Source organism: Homo sapiens, chromosome 11, assembly GCF_000001405.40.
Source record: "Homo sapiens chromosome 11, GRCh38.p14 Primary Assembly".
Lineage (NCBI taxonomy): Eukaryota > Metazoa > Chordata > Mammalia > Primates > Hominidae > Homo > Homo sapiens.
The window spans coordinates 83,286,581-83,308,210 of NC_000011.10; the positions used below are offsets into that span (position 1 = coordinate 83,286,581).

Genomic DNA, 21,630 nt, shown 5'->3' on the forward strand with positions numbered 1-21,630 from the left:
CGTTTCTAGGAGAAATTCCTTGAATTTTCACCATTTATCCTTCTCAGACCTCAGTTACTCAAGACTGCTCCGCATAGTAAAATGCTGAAAGCAACAATGCACAGTAGTTGTATTAAAATGCACTAATACTCATGAATATTCTCTGTAAGTTGTAAAATGGCACACAGTTGTGCGGTGTTAGTGGCTTACTCTCTCAAGATTCTAAACAATTACGGCTAGGTTTCTATCTATATGTATTCAAAGCTTTGTGAGAGTCAACTAAGTAACAAACACCATTTCTAAGGCCCGAAGCACATTGAAAGAACAAAACTTGATTCCCGCCAACAACTGCTTTAACAGACAATTCATGAAGAGGAAATATAAATTGCTATTTAAAACACTGGGATGGCTGGGCGTGGTGGCTCATGCCTGTAATTCCAGCACTTTGGGAGGCCGAGGCGGGCAGATCACCTGAGGTCGGGAGTTCGAGACCAACCTGACCAACGTGGAGAAACCCTGTCTATATTAAAAATACAAAATTAGCCGGGCGTGGTGGCACATGCCTGTAATCCCAGCTACTCAGGAGGCTGAGGTAGGAGAATCGCTTGAATCCTGGAGGCGGAGGTTGCAGTGAGTCGAGATCACACCATTGCACTCCAGCCTGGGCGACAGAGTGAGACTCGATCTAAAAAAAAAAAAAAAAAATTGGGAAAAAAGTTTGATCTTACCAGTTTCAAAATACAAAACGCAAAACCTTAGGGTATATCGAGGTTAGGGGTCCCAATGATCCCAACAGGATGTAAGCATAGTACTCAACAGGTGCTTTTTCAACCCATGCCCCTCTGTCCGTCTCCCCCTTTCCTCATCTAATGATCCTCAATGCCTGTTGTTTCCACGTTTACCATCATATATTCAATGTTTAGCTCCTACTTATAAGTGAGAACATGTGTATTTGGTTTTCTGTTCTTGGCATTAGGTTGCATAGGATAATGGCTCCAGTTCCATCCATGTTGCTACAAAGAGTATAATTTCCTTATTTTTATGGCTGCATTATATTCCATGGTGTATATGTACCACATTTTCTTTATCCAGTCCACTGTTGATGGGCACTTAGGTTGATTTCATGTCCTTGCTATCGTGAATGGCACTACAATGAACATACGGTTGCATGTGTCTTTTTTTTTTTTTTTTTTTTTTTGGCTTGAGGCAGGGTTTTGCTGCGTCACTCAGGCTGGAGTGCAGTCGTGCATGGCTCACTGCAGCCTCAACTTCCTGGGCTTAACTGATCCTCCTGCCTCAGGCTTCCAAGTAGCTGTGACTACAGGTGTGCACTACCACAACTGGCTAATTTTTGCATGTTTTGTAGAGATGGGGTCTTGCCATGTTGCCCAGGCTGGTCCAGAACTCCTGGGCTCAAACTATCCACCCGCCTAGGCCTCCCAAGTGCTGGGATTACAGGCATGAGCTGCGGTGCCCAGCTCTGTGTCTTTTTGATGGCATGAATTATTTTCCTTTGGGTATATACCCAGTAGTGGGATTGCTGGGTTGAATGGTAGTTGTATTTTAAGTTCTTTGAGAAATCTCCAAACTGCTTTCCATAGTGGCTGAACTAGTTTGCATTCCCATCAACAGAGTATAAGCATTCCCTTTTCTTCACAGCCTAACCAATATGTGAATTTTTTTTCTTAATAATTGCCATTCTGATGGGTGTGAGATGGCATCTCATTGTAGTTTTGATTTGCATTTCTCTAATGATCAGTGGTGTTGAGGATTTTTTCATGTTTGTTGGCTATTTGTATGTCTTCTTTTGAGAAGTGTGTGTTCATGTCCTTTGCTCATTTTTTAATTGGATTGTTTTATACTTCTTGGTTTGTTTAAATTCCTTATAGATTCTGGATGTTAGACCTTTGTCAGATGCATAGTTTGCAAATATTTTCTCCTTCCCATTCTTAGGCTATCTGTTTACTCTGTTGGTAATTTCTTTTGCTGTGCAGAAGCTCTTTAATTAGGTCCCACTTGTCAGTTTTTATTTTTGTTGTAATTGCTGTTGGGGACTTAGCTATAAATTCTTTTCCAAAGCCTGTGTCAAGAAGGGTATTTCCTAGTTTTTTTTCTAGAGTTTTTATAGTTTGAGGGCTTACTTTTAAATCTTTAATCCAGCTTGTGGTAATTTTTGTATATGGTGAGAGGTAGGGGGGTCCAGTTTCATTCTTCTGCATATGGCTAGCCAGTTATCCCACCACCATTTACTGAATAGGGAATGCTATCCGTGTTGCTTATTTTTGTTGATTTTGTTGAAGACCAGATGGTTTTAGGTGTGTGGCTTTATTTCTGGGTTCTCTATTCTGTTCTACTGGTCTATGTGTCTGTTTTTGTAACACTACCATGCTGTTTTGATTAGTTTAGCCTTATAGTATTGTTTGAAGTCTTGCTTTGTTCTTTTTGCTTAAGATTGCTTTGACTATTCAGGCTCTTTTTTGGTTCCAAATTAATTTTAGAAGAGGTTTTTCTAGTTCTGTGAAAAATGATGTTGGTATTTTGATAAGGATAGCGTTAAATCTGTAATTTGTTTTGGATAGTATGGCCATTTTAACTGTATTGATTCTTCCAACCCATGAGCATGGAATATTTCTCCATTTATTTGTGTTGTCTCTGCTTTCTTTCAGTAGTGTTTTGTAGTTCTCCTTGCAGAGATCTTTCACCTCCCTGGTGAGATGATCCTGAGTATTCCATTTTCTTTGTGCCTATTGTAAATGGGATTGTGTTCTTGATTTGATTCTCAGCTAGAACATTATTGGTGTATAAAAATGCTACTGATTTTTTGTGCATTGATTGTGTATCCTGAAACTTTACTGAATTTGTTTATCAGTTCCAGGGGCCTTTGGGAGAGTCTTTAGGGTTTTCTAGGTGTAGAATCATATCGTTGGCAAAGAGAGATAGTTTACCTTCCTCTCTTCCTATTTGAATATCTTTATTTATTTCTCTTGCCTGATTGCCCTGGCTGGGACTTCCAGTACTATGTTGAATAAGGGTGGTGAGAATGGGCATCCTTTTCTTGTTCCAGTTCTCAAGGGGAATGTGTTTCCAGTTTTGGCCTTTAGCAATTTAGTAATATATTTATGAAACTCCAAAAAGTAAATAGCCAGAGTTTCACTTCTTCTTTTTTTTTTTTTTTTTTGAGACAGAGTCTTGCTCTATCACCCAGGCTGGAGTGCAACGGTGTGATCTTGGCTCACTGCAACCTCAGCCTCCCGGGTTCAAGCAATTCTCCTGCCTCAGCCTCCCAAGTAGCTGGGATTACAGGCATGCGCTGCCACACCCAGCTAATTTTTGTATTTTTAGTAGAGGTGGGGTTTCGCCATGCTGGTCAGGCTGGTCTTGAACTCCTGACCTCAGGTGATCCACCCATCTCGGTCTCTCAGAGTGCTGGGATTACAGGCAACTGTGAGCCACCGCACCTGGCCTAGAGTTTCACTTCTAAGAAGCTATCCATAGTAAATAATCACATCTGTAGCTAAGATTTTTGAAAAGGATGACTATTGCAATGTTATTTATAGTAGTGAAAAATTGAAAATAGTCTAAGTATTCAAAAGTGATTAAATAACTTGCAGAAGTGTCCCAATTTGGAATATTATGCAAGAATTTAGTATTTTTAAAAATAATCTTAGTGACAGGAAAATCCTTAATACATGTATATACATAATTATAATTCTGTATAATTCTTATATACAGGATTATAATTATAATTATATACATGATTATAATTCTGTTAAATGATAGGATCCCTGCTTGGGAGGAGCTAACAGGCTAGTGGAAGATACAGACCAGTAAGTGTTATCACAATATTTTACTTAACTTAAGGAATTATTATGAAAAAAGTGGATCTCTTTATATATTAATTCATGTTACTATTATTTATATTAACATAAAGCTCTCTCTGTAACACACATATACAGTGTTGATTATGTTCTCTTTGATGGAAGTGGCAATTAGATCCAGGGATTCTTAATCATTCTCTGAGGCTGGCTGGAACTATATCAAGTGAGTGCAGGAGCTTGGGTCATCCATAATCTACCATGCAGGCCAGAGAAGCATAGGAAGGAAAAGCAGGAATAGCAGATGAAGTGAGTCCAGATAGTATTCAGCTAATAGATACAGCTCCTCTCTGAGACCTCCTAATGCTCCTGTGTATTTTCAGATTCTCCTTGGTTGCTATTGTTTCTTTGTTAAACATCTTAATTTATAAAAATATTTTTCCATAAATTTGTTAATGTTTTCTCATGTTTGTTGAGAGGAATAGAAAAGATGATGCATCTAAAATACTTAGCACTGGACCTGGCATATACAAGCACCCAATAAACAATAATAATACCTGCTTACTCAGAGTTAGGAAATAATTTCCATGGGTGTCTCATGTTTCTGTATGTTTTACAAATGGAGGTCTTCTCTGCCTTTTGTTGTGGCAGTTTTGTATAACGAACAACCTTAGGAAATATAGCATCTCTCTCTGGAGCAAAAGGCCTCATGCTTACTGCCTATTATAAAAGATTTGTGTTCTCATAGGTCAGGGTTCCTCTCTGTAATGCAATGTACTGTACGTGCTCAGGCATCTACGTAGCCCCAGCTGCATCATCCCCATGAACTTGGGGCCAAGGGGAGCTGACACAAATATGCCGATACTCGTGCTGCTCGCTGCACCATCAGTAATTGGGTTCTTTGTTTCTAGCAAGGAGTCTCATATCTTCTACCAGCATCCATGCAACCATGACAGGATAACTTGATAGCCTGCTAATAGGGTAAGATCTCGGACCCTTCACAATATTATTCTTCTCTGGACTTTTAAACATTTTTCATTTTTCCAGTTTTACTTACAGAAATATCTGAGTGCCAGCTAGGTTTAAGGTTAGATGTGAGGAATGTAAAGAAAACCAGTTCAATCCAACAACTATTCAAGTTCTTACTACGTGCAGGGATTTCTGCTAGGATACGCAAGGATTGCAAAGATTTCTGCTCTCCAGTAATTTGTAATATATTAATAACTGAGAGAATAGAACAAGCATTTTAATAGCCTTCAACACAGAGCTTTAATAGGTTAGTGTCATGTAAATGTTAAGAAAATAATAAATCCTATAATTCAGTTGAAGGTTAAATGCTTTTTGATAATGGTTATCAAGAAGAGATAGGATTTGAACCTTAGGGGTTTTAGTTAGTAGAGGTTGTAAGGCAAGGGGTCCAGGAGAGAGGATTGGAGTGAGCAAGTACAATTTACTCATCGCTTTGCTCCTTCCTACTCAGGGACTTTGCATATGGTAAAGCATCACTACTCAACTTGGAGCTCTTTCTCCTCTTTATCTGGCCAATTCCTTTATATCTTTCAGATTCCAGTTTAAATGGTGACTTTTTAGAGTAACTCTTTAAGAAGTCATTCCCACTCAAACAACATGCAGATTTGGTACTTTTGTTATGGACTCATACAGCAACCCAGCCTTCCCATGTCTCTGCACTTAATATTTGTTTTCTCCATTATGGTAGAGACCATATGTGTCATGGTGTCTCCAGTGCTTATCATGCCTGGGCCATAACAAGCTTTTGGTAAGTGTGTGTTGAATGAATGAGTGAATGTTCAAAATATGGTCATAGTTTGGTGAGGAAACTTCGTAGACTGGGGCATAGGAATTATATGAAGACTGGGTGGAATTGGGGTGAACAAAATGAAAAAGGTAGAATAAAAAAGACTAAGGAAATTGAATTTCATACAGTGGACTTGCAGGAGATTTTGAAATTTTTTGAGCTAAAATAGATAAAAATCAGTTTGAATTTCTTTCTAGAAAATAACTATTTGCCATTTGCTAGTGTAGGCAAATGAATCCTTTCCTCTTCCAATGTCTGATGAGATGGCCTGGACATGAGAAATGCTCCCCTGCTGAAAGCAGCCTAGTTTATCTAAATCTCAAAGGCCAACAGGGTAGCAGGGAAGTGGGTCCTGGTTTTTTTCATTGCAAATAACCACTTTTTTTTTTTTACCTTTATAAGCTCCCATTTAAAACACAGCTTACACTCTTTACCAACAACATGTATGAAGCCACTACTTATTTTCCTATTTTCCATTAATTCAAGATAAGTTACTGTTGGTGAGTGGGAGATAAGCAGTGCTGATTTAACAGTAAGCTGATAAATTTACAGGGGAAGGCGAAGATACTTGCCAATTTCTTCAGTGGTTTCCAATTTCATCTCCAGCAATGATACAATTTTTTGAGGCATTTTAATATGTCCAAATCCTCTTGAGGACCCCATTGCTCCAGTACTCTTTCCTCTGATGTTTAGAGGTCTGGGGTCCCAGCTTGGGCACAATTGTATCAGATGACCAGAGATCACCCAGGACTACGACTATAGCTCTGGTGACTTCACGGAGAGAGAATGCAGCCTGGACCACTCACATGTGTCAGTCATTTTCTCTTGGAATAGGTGATGTGAAGGAATCTCGATGTGTTTTAAAGCCTGTGAATGAGGCATTGAGAAAGAGAGAGCTCTGGACCAAATGGGTTTCATTTTCTTCCTTAGCTTACTTGGAGCTCTTGCCACTAGGGGGAGGATGTGAAAAGAACCAAGGACAATTCTTTGCTTCTTTGCTCTCATCTCTGAAGCTGAGTCAGAGGGCCCATTGTCACAAAAGCTTTGTGTAGCTTTATGTTAATTTCACATTTTGCATGGCTGGAAAGTGACTATCAGCCCGTATTCCCTGAAAATCTGGGGAAATTTTTTTTTTCCTAATTATACAGGGAGGCTGGCAATGACACCCGATTCCGAGTTTGCCCATTAAAATAAATCAAAGAAAAGAATGATTAAAAGAATGGTAGAAAAGAAGAAGAAAGAGCTGTCAAAACATTATATACTTTGCAATGTTACATCATAACCTGGTGTCTCTCATCGATTACTCATTTTTTCTTTGAATGACTATTGAACACTATTTATGGTGCCAGGCACTGTGCTAAGCCATGAAGATATAAACATAAAACACAGTCCTGCTCTCAGATTGTCAACAGTCTATTGTAATAAATATTATGATGAAGGGTAGTATAGGCTGCCAAGGGAATGCATAAGAGAGGCTTATATTACCCTAAGCAGGGATCCGTCGGAAGGCATTAGTTTGAAAGGATGTGTGAAAGACAGTTTGGTTAAATGGATTTGGTGAATGGTGGTGTGGAGTACGTTGTGTGGAAAAGGCAACAGCACTTGCAAAAGCCGGGAAGTGTGTGTGAGAGAGCCTGGTTCATTTGGGAATGGAGAGAATGGCTGGAGCAATGGGTTAAGGGTAGGGAAATTCAGAAGGTGAGGTTGGAAAAGGTGAGGCTGGCCTTCAAGGTCTTTTTTACTTTATCCATGAGTAAGAGGAATCACTGAAGGGCATTAGGCTAGGGAGTAGCTTTGAAAAGAAAGGTGGCCAGGCATGGTGGTTCACCCTGTCATCTCAGCAGTTTGGGAGGCCAAGGTGAGAGGATCAGTGGAGCCCAGGAATTTGAGACCAGCCTGGGCAACATAGCGAGCTCCTGTCTCTATAAAAATTAAAAAAAATTAGCCGGGCAATGGGACACATGCCTGTAGTCCCAGTTACACAGGGGGCTGAGGTGGGAAGATCTCTTGAGCCCAGGAGGTCAAGGCTACAGTGAGCCCTGATTGCACCACTGCACTCCAGCCTGGGCAACAGAGACCCTGTCTCAAAAACGAAAACGAAAAAATGAAAAGAAAAGGAAAAAAACCAAAAGGGTGTTTGCCTGCCCTTTGCTGAGTCCTTCAGCGGTCAAGGCTGTGTATTTCACCTAGATTCCCTGTCCTAGGTACTGATCTGGAAAACCCTAGACATCTGCCCCTTTCCTGGTCAGAGAAGACCCCTGGCCTGGCAGAGCCTACAGCTCCAGCCTCAAGGTACCTGATTGGAGAAGTCCTCCTCATTGTATGACTTGGCTGCCTTGGACCTCACTGGGAAAGACTAGGGAAATAGGATTTTGGGGTCTTGACTTTGGAATTCATTTTCCGCACTGGGGTATAGCAGAGCTGAAAAATCTCACTAAACTCTCAGCATGGTCTGTATCCTTCCTGTCTCCAACAACAAGGTGGGGCATTCTTCCTCAAAAATTCTTCACATGTAGGTGTTGCCTCATCTCTTATCTCACACACATGAGCTCATTTGAGCTCTTTGGCAACTCCGTGAGCTGGGTACCATTGCTCCTGTTTCATAGATGGGAAAACAGGTTCAGAAGGCTGAAGTGACTTGTCCCAGGTCACAGAGCAAGTACGTGGTAGAACTCATAATCGATTGTGCTGCACACTGCATAGATAAGTCACCCCTGTTCCTTCCACCAATTTATTTTAACTGGGTACATGGCACAAATTGTGAAATTATGTGTACTCTTAGGGACACATCATCCCTCATCCTCCAAGAAACTGTTAGTACAGAAGTGACAAATGGGTTTCATCTTCATGCCAATACCCTTCAATTGACCGTGGCTGCTTAGAACAAAGTGATGAGTGTTGTGAGGCCATATCTTGGTGCAGCAGTAAAGAATACATGATTGATTGGTAGTATCTGATATGAATGCAGGAGAGAAAGGGGGCAGCACATATGCCATTTCTAGATTATATATTCCCCTTAGGCTGCCATAATCCTGCACTGGCCATGACATTTCCACTGACTCCCACCTTCATCCCAACACCCATTTTGCTCATTTTCTCTTATTCCTTCCCTTCCTTGCTGAAATTGTTCCCACCCATTTAACAATAGCTTCAACTTACTGAGGGTTTAGTGGGTACCAGGCACTTTGCGTATATTATTTCTAATTCTCCAACAATCATGTAAGGTAGGTAGAGACAAAAACAAGACTTAGAGGGGTTAAGTAGCTTGTTCAGGGACATACAACAAGCTGGAATTTCAACCCTGAAGCACATGGAAAACTTTGCATTTTTATAATGGGTAATGAAAACCTTCATATTCACTGTTTGCTTTGAGCCTCACAACAGCCTCGGGAGGTAGTTTTCTGGGTTTGCAACTGAGGGAGCTTGAGGCTCAGGGGAGAGGCGCTGATTATTTAGTGACATAGTCACAGCTCCTGACTCCTACCTCAGGCCTTTTCCTGCTACTACCTTAGGCTCTGGGGAAGAGCCCTTGACTCCACAAAGCTATCTCTTAAGAACTGATCTATACTACTGTGGGGAGAATTTGGGGGCCCTTCATTGATTTTACTCCTGCCAGCCTTACCCTGTTTTCAGCTCTTATCATCAAGAAGGTCTTTCTTTTATTGTTAGCTCTTTGTGTAATTTAGGTCATTTCTTTAAAAAAATTTGTTGAGAAATTCACGTCACATAAAATTAACCATTTAAACGTGAACAACTCAGTAGCATTTAGTACACTTACAATGTTGTGCAACTACCACCTCTATCTAGTTCCAAAATATTTCCATCACTCCAAAGTAAAATTCCTGACCTATTTAGCAGGTTTTTCCCCTTCCCCACTCCTCTCAGCCCCTGACTAACACCGATCTGTGTTCTGTCTCTATGGATTCATCTATTCTGGATGTATCACGTAAATTGAATCATACATGTGACCTTTTGTATATGGCTTTTTTCATTTAGCAAAATATCTTGGAAGTTCATTGTGTTGCAGCATGCATCAGTACTTCATTCCTTTTCATGGCCAGTATTCTATTGCACACAATCAGTACCATGATTTGTTTATCCATCCATTCGCTGATAGACATTTGGGGTCTTTTTACTTTATGGCTATTATGAATAATGCTGCTATGAGCATGTGCATACATGTACTTGTCTGAATATATTTTTTCAGTTCTTCTAGTATCTATGTAGGCGTGAAATTGCAGGGTCATGTGGTAATTTTACATTTAAAAGGCCCACTTCTGTTTGTTTGATCTTACTGGATGTAGATGTACATGTTGATCATGAAGAAAGCCAGCCTTTTCTGAGCTATATAATTTTGACATCTGGCTTTATTTGGGAAACTTTTAAACCAGGGTTACCCATTACAGTTACAGTTTCCCTGAGGGAAACCCTAAAATAGGCATTTAAAGAAATAGTAGTTCTTTCTTATCACATCCATCCTATGTGCCAAGGAGAGTGCTAAGCACTCTTTGGACATGAGTTTTAGTCCCCAGAACAACATTGCCTAATGGTAATTATTATACCCCTTTTACAGATAAAGAAGCTGAAGTCTAAAATGGTTAGAGAGCTTGTTCAGTGCCATGTAGCTTCTAGTGGTGGGATTTGAAGCTTTGGATGTCTGACCCCAAAGAACATCTTTCTGCTACACCAAGCAGTCTTCCTCAAGAACTTTCTAGGCTGCTGCTGTCAGCTATGTTGTTGACCTTTTATGAGAAATTACTAGCCAGCTTTTGCTGTGAGATTTTTTGCAATAAAAGCATAGCATTTATCAGGATCACTTTGATTGGTAAATGCAGAAATCATAAAAGGGGAATATAAAATAATAACTGTATAGGGATAGTTCAGGAAATCCAAAGGCAGTAATGCATGAAGGTCTCAGAAAGGATTGGAAGTGGAGCTTGGAAAGTTTCTAAGAACCAGGGAATTTTCTATCTCCATCTCTTACCCACGCTTCTCTCCGTGTCTGCTGCCTTATTTCTCTACATTGATTGGTTTTCTCTGATATCTAGTGCATGGGATAGAAAATGGTATGCCACAGTGTCTGCATTTATATCTCCCCTGTTCAAGGGAGTAGCCAGCTGAGTCTGGCATCACTTAGTTCCAATTTCAAGTTGCCAGGGAAGGGACTTCTATTGGCTCCACTTAGATTGGTCACTGAACCTTTGACTGAAGACTATGGCTACATAGCAGGTCCACATTATACATTCGTGCTAAGACCATTTGGAGGGAAATGGATTGATAATCCTTTGCAAAATAGGTGAACATTCATTGGTGGAAGACCCAGAGATGACAAAGCGTATCCTCTCCAGCTTTCACGAGAACATCTGTGAACCAGACATGAGAGAATTTGAAATGGAGAAACTGCAATACTCTAAGCTGTTATAGGCAGAGAGGGATGTCTGTGAAACATTGGAAGTAGCCTGTATAGTAGAGGACCTCTGGATAGTGTAGGAAACTTCTAAAGGTGGTACTTGCATCTGGAAGTGGTGTTCTTCTCTCTAGAAGGAGACACATGCAACACTGTTCAGCTCCAGAGCAGCTGCAGAGATGCCAGCAGGACTGTGAACCTCTTTTAACATTTTATGGTCATTTGCATTGGTATATTAGGAATAACAGCCACTAGACCCATTAGAATATTGAGGTAGTAACCCAATTCACACTTAAGGTATGAACTTGGAACTGCTACAAACAGACAGACTAAAAATTCTCAAACTCTCAAAACTGGAAGGTGGCCATTAAAGGCAGATGTGTAGAATGTGGGCCCTCTGAGGCCTAGAGAAGGATTGTAATGCAGAATCAGGATGACAAATGGGGACCTTCTGGACAAGAATGGGGCAGAAATGTGCCTTTAGACATACCTGAAGGTATAGCTAAGGATCAAGGATTTCACCATTCCTGAAGACCCCCTCCTACTCCACTGTGGTGGTTATAATTGGTTTTATTAATATGTATACTTAAGGTTAAATAATTTGCATAGTAGTGTGTATGGAGGTTATTCCATAGCATGGGCTTGTTTAGTCTCAACTTTTTTGCAGGCATTATAAGGTTCCAAACTTTGAATTTTACAGATAAGATTGTGTTGTCCAGAATGGGTAGAGCAGATACACAGCTTGCCGTAAAAAATGCAATCTGAATATAGCTTTTTTCTGTATTTAGGGCCTTGAGAGAGACACCACTTATGTTGCCACCTTGGTCAAATCGATGCCAAGATGACAGCATGGTTTTTGACAAGACAGCAGGCTCTTGAGTTGATAGGCATGTGCAAAGAGCCTAATCCTCCTGGCTTAAATTATTGAGACAATTGCCTTAGACAATACCCTTAAACTTAGCAGCCCAGCCAGTACAAAAGAGAAATGTCCAAATCTTTATCCTTTTGGAAAGGAAGGAACTAGAAGACATTCTCATCTGATTCTGAAATATGAAGTCTGTGGCCCTAGAACATAAGCAGATTCTTCACAGAAATTTACAACAAGGAGGAGCAAATCTTGGAACCAGTCTTCCCTTTGCCTACCAAATGATCAAACTGTAATTATCACATTTACGGGCTAATTGTTCCAATTGTAGCAGAATGAGGTGCTCCAGCCCTCTTCTGCAGACACAAATAGAATTGCTATGAAGATGGAACGATGCTTCAAGAACAGCTTGCTTTGAGCTAGTTCTTTTTATAGTGAATCTAGGGTCAGGGAAAGGTGCTGTGTGGGCACCCCTGAAACTCTTCCCTCTTCTCTCTGCATGGCCGGACCCTTTGAACACCCACCTGCAGACACAGACACAGACCCCAAGTAGCACCAATTGTGACCCAAGACCTTAGGGCTTAAAGTTGTTCTTATCAGATCCCTGAACTTGGACAGGAGTTGGTATTTCTCAGATATGCCACAGGGCAGATGATGTGGGGAGTTTGGCTTGAGATGCTTTTACAGGGCAGGATGAGGACAATAATCCTTCAATAATAGGGTTACCAGGAGAGGAAGAGAGGAAGGAAGGAAGCGAAATATCACATGGTGAGCAACTACTATGTTCTAGGCACTGTGCAGCGCATTTCCTTATATGTCATTTAATTAGGCATCAGGGTCCCAGGGAATTAAAGCACAGTGGACAGAAATGACAGGGTACAATGTTTGGGAGTCAGCCAGGTAAGCAGTCTTTATGTGGGTGTGCTGAAGTCCTGACCTTATAGTCTTTGGCTTCTGCCTCTGGAGTAGGAAATAGCAAGGCAGATGCTAATCAGGAGAGCCACTTGTGAGCCACTGGAGAGAACTTAGACAAAATAGTGACAGGGAGATGAGCCCAGGGGAGTTCAGAAATTATTTTTTTCTCCCTTGAGGTGTAGAGTGTCATGGAAAGGAGGTGAGGGCAGGGGAATGGTGAGAAATGAAGCAGGAGCAAAATCCTGAAAGGCCTTGTATGTTACAAAGAAAAGTTTGGACTTTCTCCTGGGATTTTAGAAAGATATAGAAGGGTTTTAAGGATACAATTTCATTTGGAATTGGAATCTCGTCTTGGCTGCCCAGTGGAGATGGGAAGAATAAGATGCAGGGTGAGAAGGTTGTTGGTGGAGAGCATGCTACATGCTAGAGAGATAGTATCTTGTCAGGAATTTTTTAGTTGCTAGTGACAGAAACTTACGTTGTTAACCAACCGCATTTTGGTTGCACAAACTTCCTCCTCTATAGATACATGGCAGCATGGTTGCAGACGCAGTCTGCCTTCAGGAACTACTGGAACAGGGGCTTGACCATGACCACGCCTCTTGCCATCTCTCAGTTGTACTCCCTTCTCCCTGCCAGCTCTGCCAGGTATAGAGTAGTGGTTGAGACGATGGGCTCTGGAGCCAGAGGGTTGTTGTTACTTACTAGCTGTGTGACTCTGAGCAAGTCACTTAACCTTGCTGCACCACAGTTTTCTCATCTATAAACAAGAATGATCATATCGTTTACCTCCTGGAGTTGTTGCGAGGACTAAATGAGTTAATGCACTTAAAGGGCTTGGCACAGTCCCTGGTGCATAGAAGGTGCTTAATAAGTGTTAGCTGTTATTGGTGTTATTTATATTATTTGAATGCAGACTGTCTTTTTCCAGATGGTAGGAAAATAGGCTCTGACAGCTCTTAAATGTTACATCTGACTTCAGGTACCAGAGACATACTGACTAAATGTTTCCTAGTTCCAAGTCCAAATATCTGAAGGGAAAAGACTTGGAGGCCAAGTTGAGTTTGATTCCACTCTTGGCCCAATCAACCTGGTCAAGTGGACAAGTGCCATGATTATTCCACTTTGATCTGTGATCTTATAGATAGATACAAGGATCACCAAGATGAGGCCCTGGCCAGTCTAGAGGGTGAAGAGGCAGGATCCCCCCCTTCCCCAGATGATGGGTGTTGCGAGGGAGGCACTCACCAAATCCAGTAGACATTCACATTTAGAGGGCACCTGCCAAGGCCTTTGAGACCTGTTCACTTGGGGCATCCTCTATAGGACAGGCTTGATCAGTAGATGTAACAAAGGAGTATGGAAATAGGGATGCATGGCTGCTGGGTACCTGGTCAGCCCTCTGGCCCTACGGCCCTGAGCTCCTACTTGACAATTGGCGCCTTAGCCCTGGTCCCTAACCAGCAGTTCTTCAGTCCTGCTCCCTCAGTGCTTGACCATTTCTCCTAGGCAGGCTTCCTTTTTTCCTTTATTAGAGGGCCTGGTCTGTACCTTCTGATACCCCCAGACCCTTTTGCTGTGGTTTAAAAACCAGATCCCACTCTCTTACCAATCCCATCTTCTCTATCTGGGTGGGTTAAAGGTGAAGGTAGAAATAGGATGCTCTGTCATTCTCTGCCCTTTTTATCCTCCAGGGCCTCATTTATACCAAACCTTCTCAGTACCCTCTTGGCTCAGTGACATTTTCCTGTACACCAACCTGTCAATAGCTGCGATTCAAATTCTGTGCTCAACGAAATTCCAAATCAGTCCAGGTCTTGGACCTTTAGGATCACTTGAAAATAGTCAAAATAGAGAATGTTAAAATTTGTAAGTGTCAAGAGTCTATAATACAGATGTAGAACAAATTAACCCTGTCTCTAGTAATTGGTTGAAGGCTTTTGGTGCAGGTGACATTTATCGGAGCCATGGAGGGTGGGTAGGATTTTGACAAAGCAGGAGAGTGATATGGAAGATTAGAGTGAGGCATGGGGATGGGGACAGGGCAGTTTGTATTTTCAGGGTGGGGAAGGTCAGATGTGCCTGAAGCTCAGGATGAATGGAGCAATTAATGGGAGATAAAGCTAGAATGCTACAAAATTCTCAGAACCCCAAGGCAGACAGCATTTTCCTTCCAAGGAAAATGTGGGTAACACTTTTGAGGGTCCCATGCATTGTTGTAAGCAATGAGTGAGAAAGCCTTTATTATGAAGGAACAGGCTAGAGTCAGTGGAGCATGTGTGTATTTTGTTGTGCTCGTGGAAGTCAGCCTGAATGTGGTGAGCCTGGTTTTTTTGTTTGTGGTAGATTTCAAAATCCATCACCTCATAATATGTTTACTGGTCCCTGGTTTACTTTCCAGAAGGTGCTCAGAGTAATGCTCATGAACACTTGTGGACCAGAGATGAGCTGCCTTCCCAAAACGTAAGCATCTCCCATTTAAAACTTGCAGAAATATCAGTGTCTTCCATTTAAACCATCTTGGATTCCCTGTCTCTGATTGATAAATTATTTGATTACATGGTTAGTTGCTTCATTAGACTGTAAACTCTAGGAGGGCAGGGACCCATTCACATCAAGACTGTCATGTATTACAGCATCTGGCCCAGGGCCTGGAGCAGAATGAGTTCTTAATATAGCTTAGGTAAGCTAAGCTGCACTGGACTTTGAGAGTTTGAGTGTGGGAAAGAACTTTGAAAGGTAGAAGGCCAGGAACAGTTTGAGAGGGTGTGAAGGGGTCAGTCAGGGCAGTGCGATTAGAAATAACAGAATCTGTTCTACCTGGCTAAGCAGAAAGAGGTTTATGAAAAAGTATTTGTAGCTCACAGAATTGCTGGGAGAGTTGAAGAAACAATCTAAATTGACCTTCTAGAAATGGCTTCCCAAAATCACACTGCACAGTTGCTGCCTCTGCCAAAATCAGGAAGCTGCACTATTAGGAAGTTGCTGCCCCAGTTCTCGGCTCCACAGCCAAGTCAGTTTAGCTCTGATCTGTACAAGATAATTCTTGCCTCCTGCTATGGCTCTTTCCCCATGCAACTCGGTTCTAGCACTAGACTAGTGCTTCTGATTAGAGAAACTGAATCACAGTTTCTCTAATCTAGGTGACATAATCTAGGTAACAAAAAGTTTGGAAAATAGCGTATTTAGTATTGTAGTCTTCGTGTGGAACACCAAAGAGGGTCTCGAATAAATCAACTCATGGTTTCTGGGGCTGCTAGGAAGCCTACAAGGATATGGGTTTAGGCATAGGGGGTGTCACTCATCCATTCAAGTGCACATTCTCTGAGAGCCTACTGTGTCCAGGGCCTGATCAAGGAGAGGTGCAGAGACACAGTCCCCACCCTTGGGACACTGACAGTCCAAGGGAACAATGCAGACATGGTCAGGAAGAAACTATCATGCCTGTCTCAGAGGATGGTTGAGGATATTGCTTCAGATAGGAGCTAAGGAACGCTCTCCAACTCATCACCAGGGTACGAGGGGTGCAGATCCTGGCAATGGATGTGGCTGGGCCTACCAGCATGATACTGAACCTTTTAGGCAAAAGCTACTCTCTCAAAGATTCTCAGAGCTGGAAGGGGACTTAGAAGTTAGTTAATCCAACTGTGATGGCTGCACAAACTTTCTCCTCTCTAGCATCTCTGAAGAGTGATTGAAGTTATTTTTAGCTTTTATCTAGATTCTTGGTTTATTTTTTAGTCTTTAGGTTCTCCTTTTACAGGTCAATACTCTGTGGCAGGTTGTCTCCCAGATAAAATATGCAAACAGGTGTAAGAAAATTTAGTAACAGCGAGTTTAAAAATGTTAATGAAATCAGGACACGAAGGAATTGCAAGAGTTTAGTTCCCACAGCAGCTTAGTTAATATGCTAGGTTTTTGAAGCTGTGAACAAATCTGTGAGGTTGAGCTGTGAGTCTCCTCTGAAGGATATGAGATGGGAAGATAATCATCACAGGAAAAACGGCCGAGGGGATACCACCTTAATCAGAAGGAAATGTGTGTAGATGAGCCTCCCTTTTAACAGGGCACTAATTGCTCCCGCTTTGTTTATTTTTGTCTCCTTGATATAACTGTGTAGAGTCTCTGGGCCCAATTCCAAGTCCATATCCAGGCTCCCAGTGGTCCTTTCCTCCTTCTGATGAGCCTAGAGCTAAGCTAAAGGTGGCTGCCATAAAGCAGGCTTTCCCAAATGCTGTGCCAGCTCTCCTAGCCACCAGCAGCTGTGAGGGAACTGCCTGTCAGCTGCTTGGCCATTGAAGGTGGTGAGCGAACAAGACAATGGAACATTTATTAAAAAGACAGGTAGTAATATGCAAAACAGATGTGTAAGCCCAGCTCTAGGGATCAGGGAAAGTCAAGGCTTCTGCTCAGGGGAAAGGAGGGGTCCTCAGCACAGCTGGGCAGAATGAGCCCTGGGGCAGGAGGGACATTCAGGATCCAGGGCTGCAGGAGTAGGACCTTGTAGCTCCTCAATGTGTTGCTGCACCACTAAGTTTCTCTTGGAAGTCTTTGGATCATTCTAGGGACCTGCAGGACACAGATGGCATTCCTTGGCTGGGATTTTTGAAGCAACTTTTTAATGCAGGGACTATTTGCAAAGGTGTTGGCAGAGACACAACACTAGGAGCCATTATCACTCTGAGGCCTGGGGAGATGGTGGTCTTGGACCCTGGTTAGAAGTTGGAGCTGTTTAAAGGCTGCCTGACAGGAACTGTGGCCACAGAGGAAGGCAGACATGGTGGGATGGAGTGGGTGGGGGAATAAATACCATGACCTTTCCCTCCTGCAGTCTTCAACCTCCTGCCAGTTGCCCCATTGGCTGGAAGCTAGAGGGTAAGGGACCCTGGGAATGCACTCATAGAGATCAGCCCCACAGTAGAGGAGAGGAGAATGGAGAATGGATCAGGGGCCAAGGGGCCAAGGGCAAGCAGAGAATAACCGGCAAGGTATTCTTGAGTCCTCTCTCTCCCAGATGTCTGACTTTCCTTCCTCTCCAGCCAAGTTCCTGAGGGAATCAGATGGACTGACTCAGTTAACTACCATTGTCCCTGGGGAGAGGCAGGAGGTGCTGCTTATAGGCTTGTGCTGGTAGCTTGTCTGCTGCATGTGGGGCTCCCCATCTGTCTAGACCATCTTGCCACACAACTCACCCTCACCGGGAAAACTCTGCTGTCTGCCTCTTAGAAGAAGCAAGGGGTGCAGTAGGACCCACAGACTCAAATACTGCTATTGAAGTGCTTTAATTGAGCAGGGTCCTTTCTGTCCCTTATATATTTTGACTCCAAGCTTGGTCCTTCTCTGGAACTATCCCCAGTAATCTCATCATATTTTGGGCTATGATTATATAATCAATATGATCTCACTTGTTTTTTTTTTTTTATCTTTCAGGAATTCCCTAAAAGTTCTGATTTGGTTATGGGTAATCTTTTTTATTTTTAGTGTTGCTACTAGTATGTATATATCTCTATATATCTCTATCTCTATATATATCTAACTGTGACAGGTAGAATAATGACTCCAAAGATATCCACATCCTAATCCCTGGGACCTATGAATATGTTACCTTACATGGTAAAAGGGATTTTGCAGATGTGAGTAAATGAAGACTCTTGATATGAGGAGATTACCTTGGATTATCCATGTGGACCCGAGGATATCTATGAGGGAAAGAGGGATGCAGGAGAGTCAGAGTCGGAAAAAGGAATGTTCAAGGAAAGCAGAGGTCAGAGTGATGTGAAGATCCTGGCTTTGAAGATGGACTGCAAGTGGTTTGTAAAAACTGGAAAGGGCAAAGAAATTAATTCTCCCCTAGAACCTGCAGAAGAAACACAGACCTTGACTTTAGCCCAGTAAGACCCATTTGGGACCTCTGACCTCCAGAACTGTAAGATAATAAATTAGTGTTGTTTTAAGCCAATAAGTTTGTGGTAATTTGTTATAGAAGGAATAGGAAACAAATACACTTACTATATTAACTCTTCTAACCCTCAAAACAATCCTTTTCTTTTTTGAGACTGAGTCTTGCTCTGTCACCCAGGATGGAGTGCAGTGTTGCAATCTCAGCTCACCGCAACCTCCACCTCAGCCTCCAAGTAGCTGGGATTATACAGGTGTGTGCCACCACGCCCAGCTAATTTTTGTATTTTTAGTACAGATGGGGTTTCACCATATTGGCCAGGCTGGTCACGATCTCCTGACCTCAAGTGATCCGCCTGCCTCAGCCTCCCAAAGTGCTGGGATTACAGGTGTGAGCCAACACGCCCGGCCAAAACAACCCATTTTGAAAATGAAGACACTGAGGCTCAGAGGTTTAAACAGTTTGCTAAGGTCACATAGCTGGTAGATGGTAGAGAGCTGAGATTTGAACCTAGGTAGTCTGACTCTGGTGTCTGGGTATTTACCCAATGTACCCAATGCCTCTCATGTTAATTGGTTTATTATTTTTTTCAAAATATCTTTTCCTGCAGTTTTACAAAATTTTAAGAGGGAGGTAAGTTTGTTTTCTTAGTAGGTATTTTGGTTTCATTTTGGCGTATTCCTCATGAATGCCAAGATTCCACTCTACAAACCACCACAGTTTCATGGTTAAGAATGGAACTAAACCAGTCTTAGTGTTGCTTCTTACTAGTTGAGTGATGTTGTGGAAGTTATTTAATAGAGGATTAGTGTTCTCATTTTTAAAAGTGGGATAATAATCGTACTTACCACGCGATTGTTTTAAAGTGAGATAATGCATACAAAGCACTTGGCACAGCATTTGACACAGAGTAAGAAGGTGGTATTTATTGAGCTATTACCTAACTAATAATGATAGCATTACTAGAGCTAATAATATAATATTAGCATTATTTTTATTTACCAGAAGTGTATACTTCAGGCCCGCTCAGTCCAGTTCAGATTCTAAAGCTTACACAGTGGGAGGGAGGGAGAGGCTTATCTGGCATAATGCCCTTTCCTCAGATTCTAGAATATTGGTAATAACAGGCGTGGGTCCCGGCATGTCATTAGAAGAAAGCTGGCAGCAGCCTCACTCTTGTGTGCCTTTCCACCATCTGAAGCAGAGACAAAGGACACTTATCCAAAGAGAAAAATTAGATTAGGCAATTTACCAATTCATGGAATTCATTCAGTTGTTTCTGTCCTTTCCTTTTCAAGTAGCTGTGTCCCTATCTGCCTCCTACAGGCAGTACCTGGACAGGTCAGCCTGTGTGTCTGCAGAACTCTCTACTGCTGGGGGACCCTGTCCAGGATCACTGGATTGATGTCACTGGAAGTGAAGGTAGAGGGCTGTTTCTTGGTTCAGTTAGCTGATTTAGCTACAGTTCATTTCCCTTCTAATTTTGGGCTTGACAAGGCAGACCTGAGGGGAAAGACAGGCAGAGGCAGCTTTTGATGTCAGAGCTCTCCTACCTACCTGCCCCTCTCCTGCCTATCCTGTTCTATGCTCTCCCCCAATCCTACAGTAGAATTATCAGAGGAAGAGAGGGCGTGATTGGCAGCTGGGAGGGAGCAGCCATCAGAGCTATGCCTCTCTCATGGAGCACCTGGAGAAAAGAAGATTCTAGCTTTTCCAGCCCATGAACAGCCCAGTGCTTATCTTCCACTGCATCCAAAAGGGAAGCTGGGGGTGTAGTGGAGGGTGGGCTTCTACTTTTTAAGAAAATGCATTTTTTTTTATTATAAATGTATTGCTTCCTTAGAAATAAAAAGGTATGAAAATGTATAGAGTTCAGAATAAAATTATTCTCTAATTCCTTACCCTGAAGATGATATTGTTAACGGATTGGTGCACTTTCTTTCCAGTGTGTTGCAGCTTAATTTTCTCACTTATCATTATGTCTTGGACATTTTCCCAAGTTTGTACATAGAATTCTATTTCATTCTTAATAACTCAATAGTATTACAGGGTATAGGCATAACATTATTCATTTAACTGGTGCTCCTATTAATGGATACTTTGTATTCTTTTTTTGTTATTATAAACAAAACAAAGCTGTACTGCACATCCTTTTAGATACTTCTTAGTGCATGTACGTAAGAATGTCTATAGGAAGAATCCCTAGAAATGGAATGGCTGAGTCAAAGAGTTTGCATATTTAAAATGTTGGAATGTATTGCTATATTGCCCTCTAAAATGTTTTAATAATTTACATACTCTTAGGTAGGTGTTCTTTAACTTTCAAGAGCCCTTACCAGTATGCAATATGTGAATTGCCTGACATTTTGACAACCTTCAATAACCTCTTTCAGTGAAGCTCAATATACTTTGTGTGCTTGGTACAGATACTATGGTAGGCATGGGGTGTTCAAGAATGTCTGAAGGTTGAATAGTACTCCAAACCTAGCCTACAGTGTGTGTCCTATGAAGCCTTGAAGTTAGGCATTGTACTCTCTTCTCTAGCTACAAAAGTCCTGGATGGCATCTTCTTCCAATAGAAGGCTATTTAATCTCCATGGAAAATTTGTTGTTTTGTGTGGCTACCATTATCAATAATCGCAGATCATCTGGATGAATTGCTGCAGCTTCTACACCAGAACTTGCTCCTTCATCTTATACTTTTTTGTTCTGGAGACAACTTCTTTCCTTAGAGGAGTTTTTGAGTAGGGGAAGAGACAAGTACAGCCATAGCTCAGAAATAATGTGGTTTAGTTCCAGACTAACACAATAAAGTGAGTAAAAAGAATGTTTTGGTTTCCCAGTTCATATAGAAGTTATGTTTACCTTATAAACTCTATTAAGTGTGCAAAGCATTATATCTACAAAAGTACATACCTTAAAAGTACTTTATTT

The 21,630-nt window shown here is 41.7% G+C and overlaps 2 long non-coding RNA genes across 2 annotated transcripts in view; both read left to right on the forward strand.

Moving 5' to 3' along the window:
* Positions 1-21,630, forward strand: part of CCDC90B-AS1 (CCDC90B antisense RNA 1) — a 140,270-nt gene that overhangs the window by 461 nt on the left and 118,179 nt on the right. The window lies entirely within an intron of this gene.
* LOC105369420 (uncharacterized) lies at positions 19,178-20,562 on the forward strand. The gene is made up of 2 exons (XR_950379.2): positions 19,178-20,118; positions 20,303-20,562. It is a non-coding gene; the product is annotated as an uncharacterized LOC105369420 (long non-coding RNA).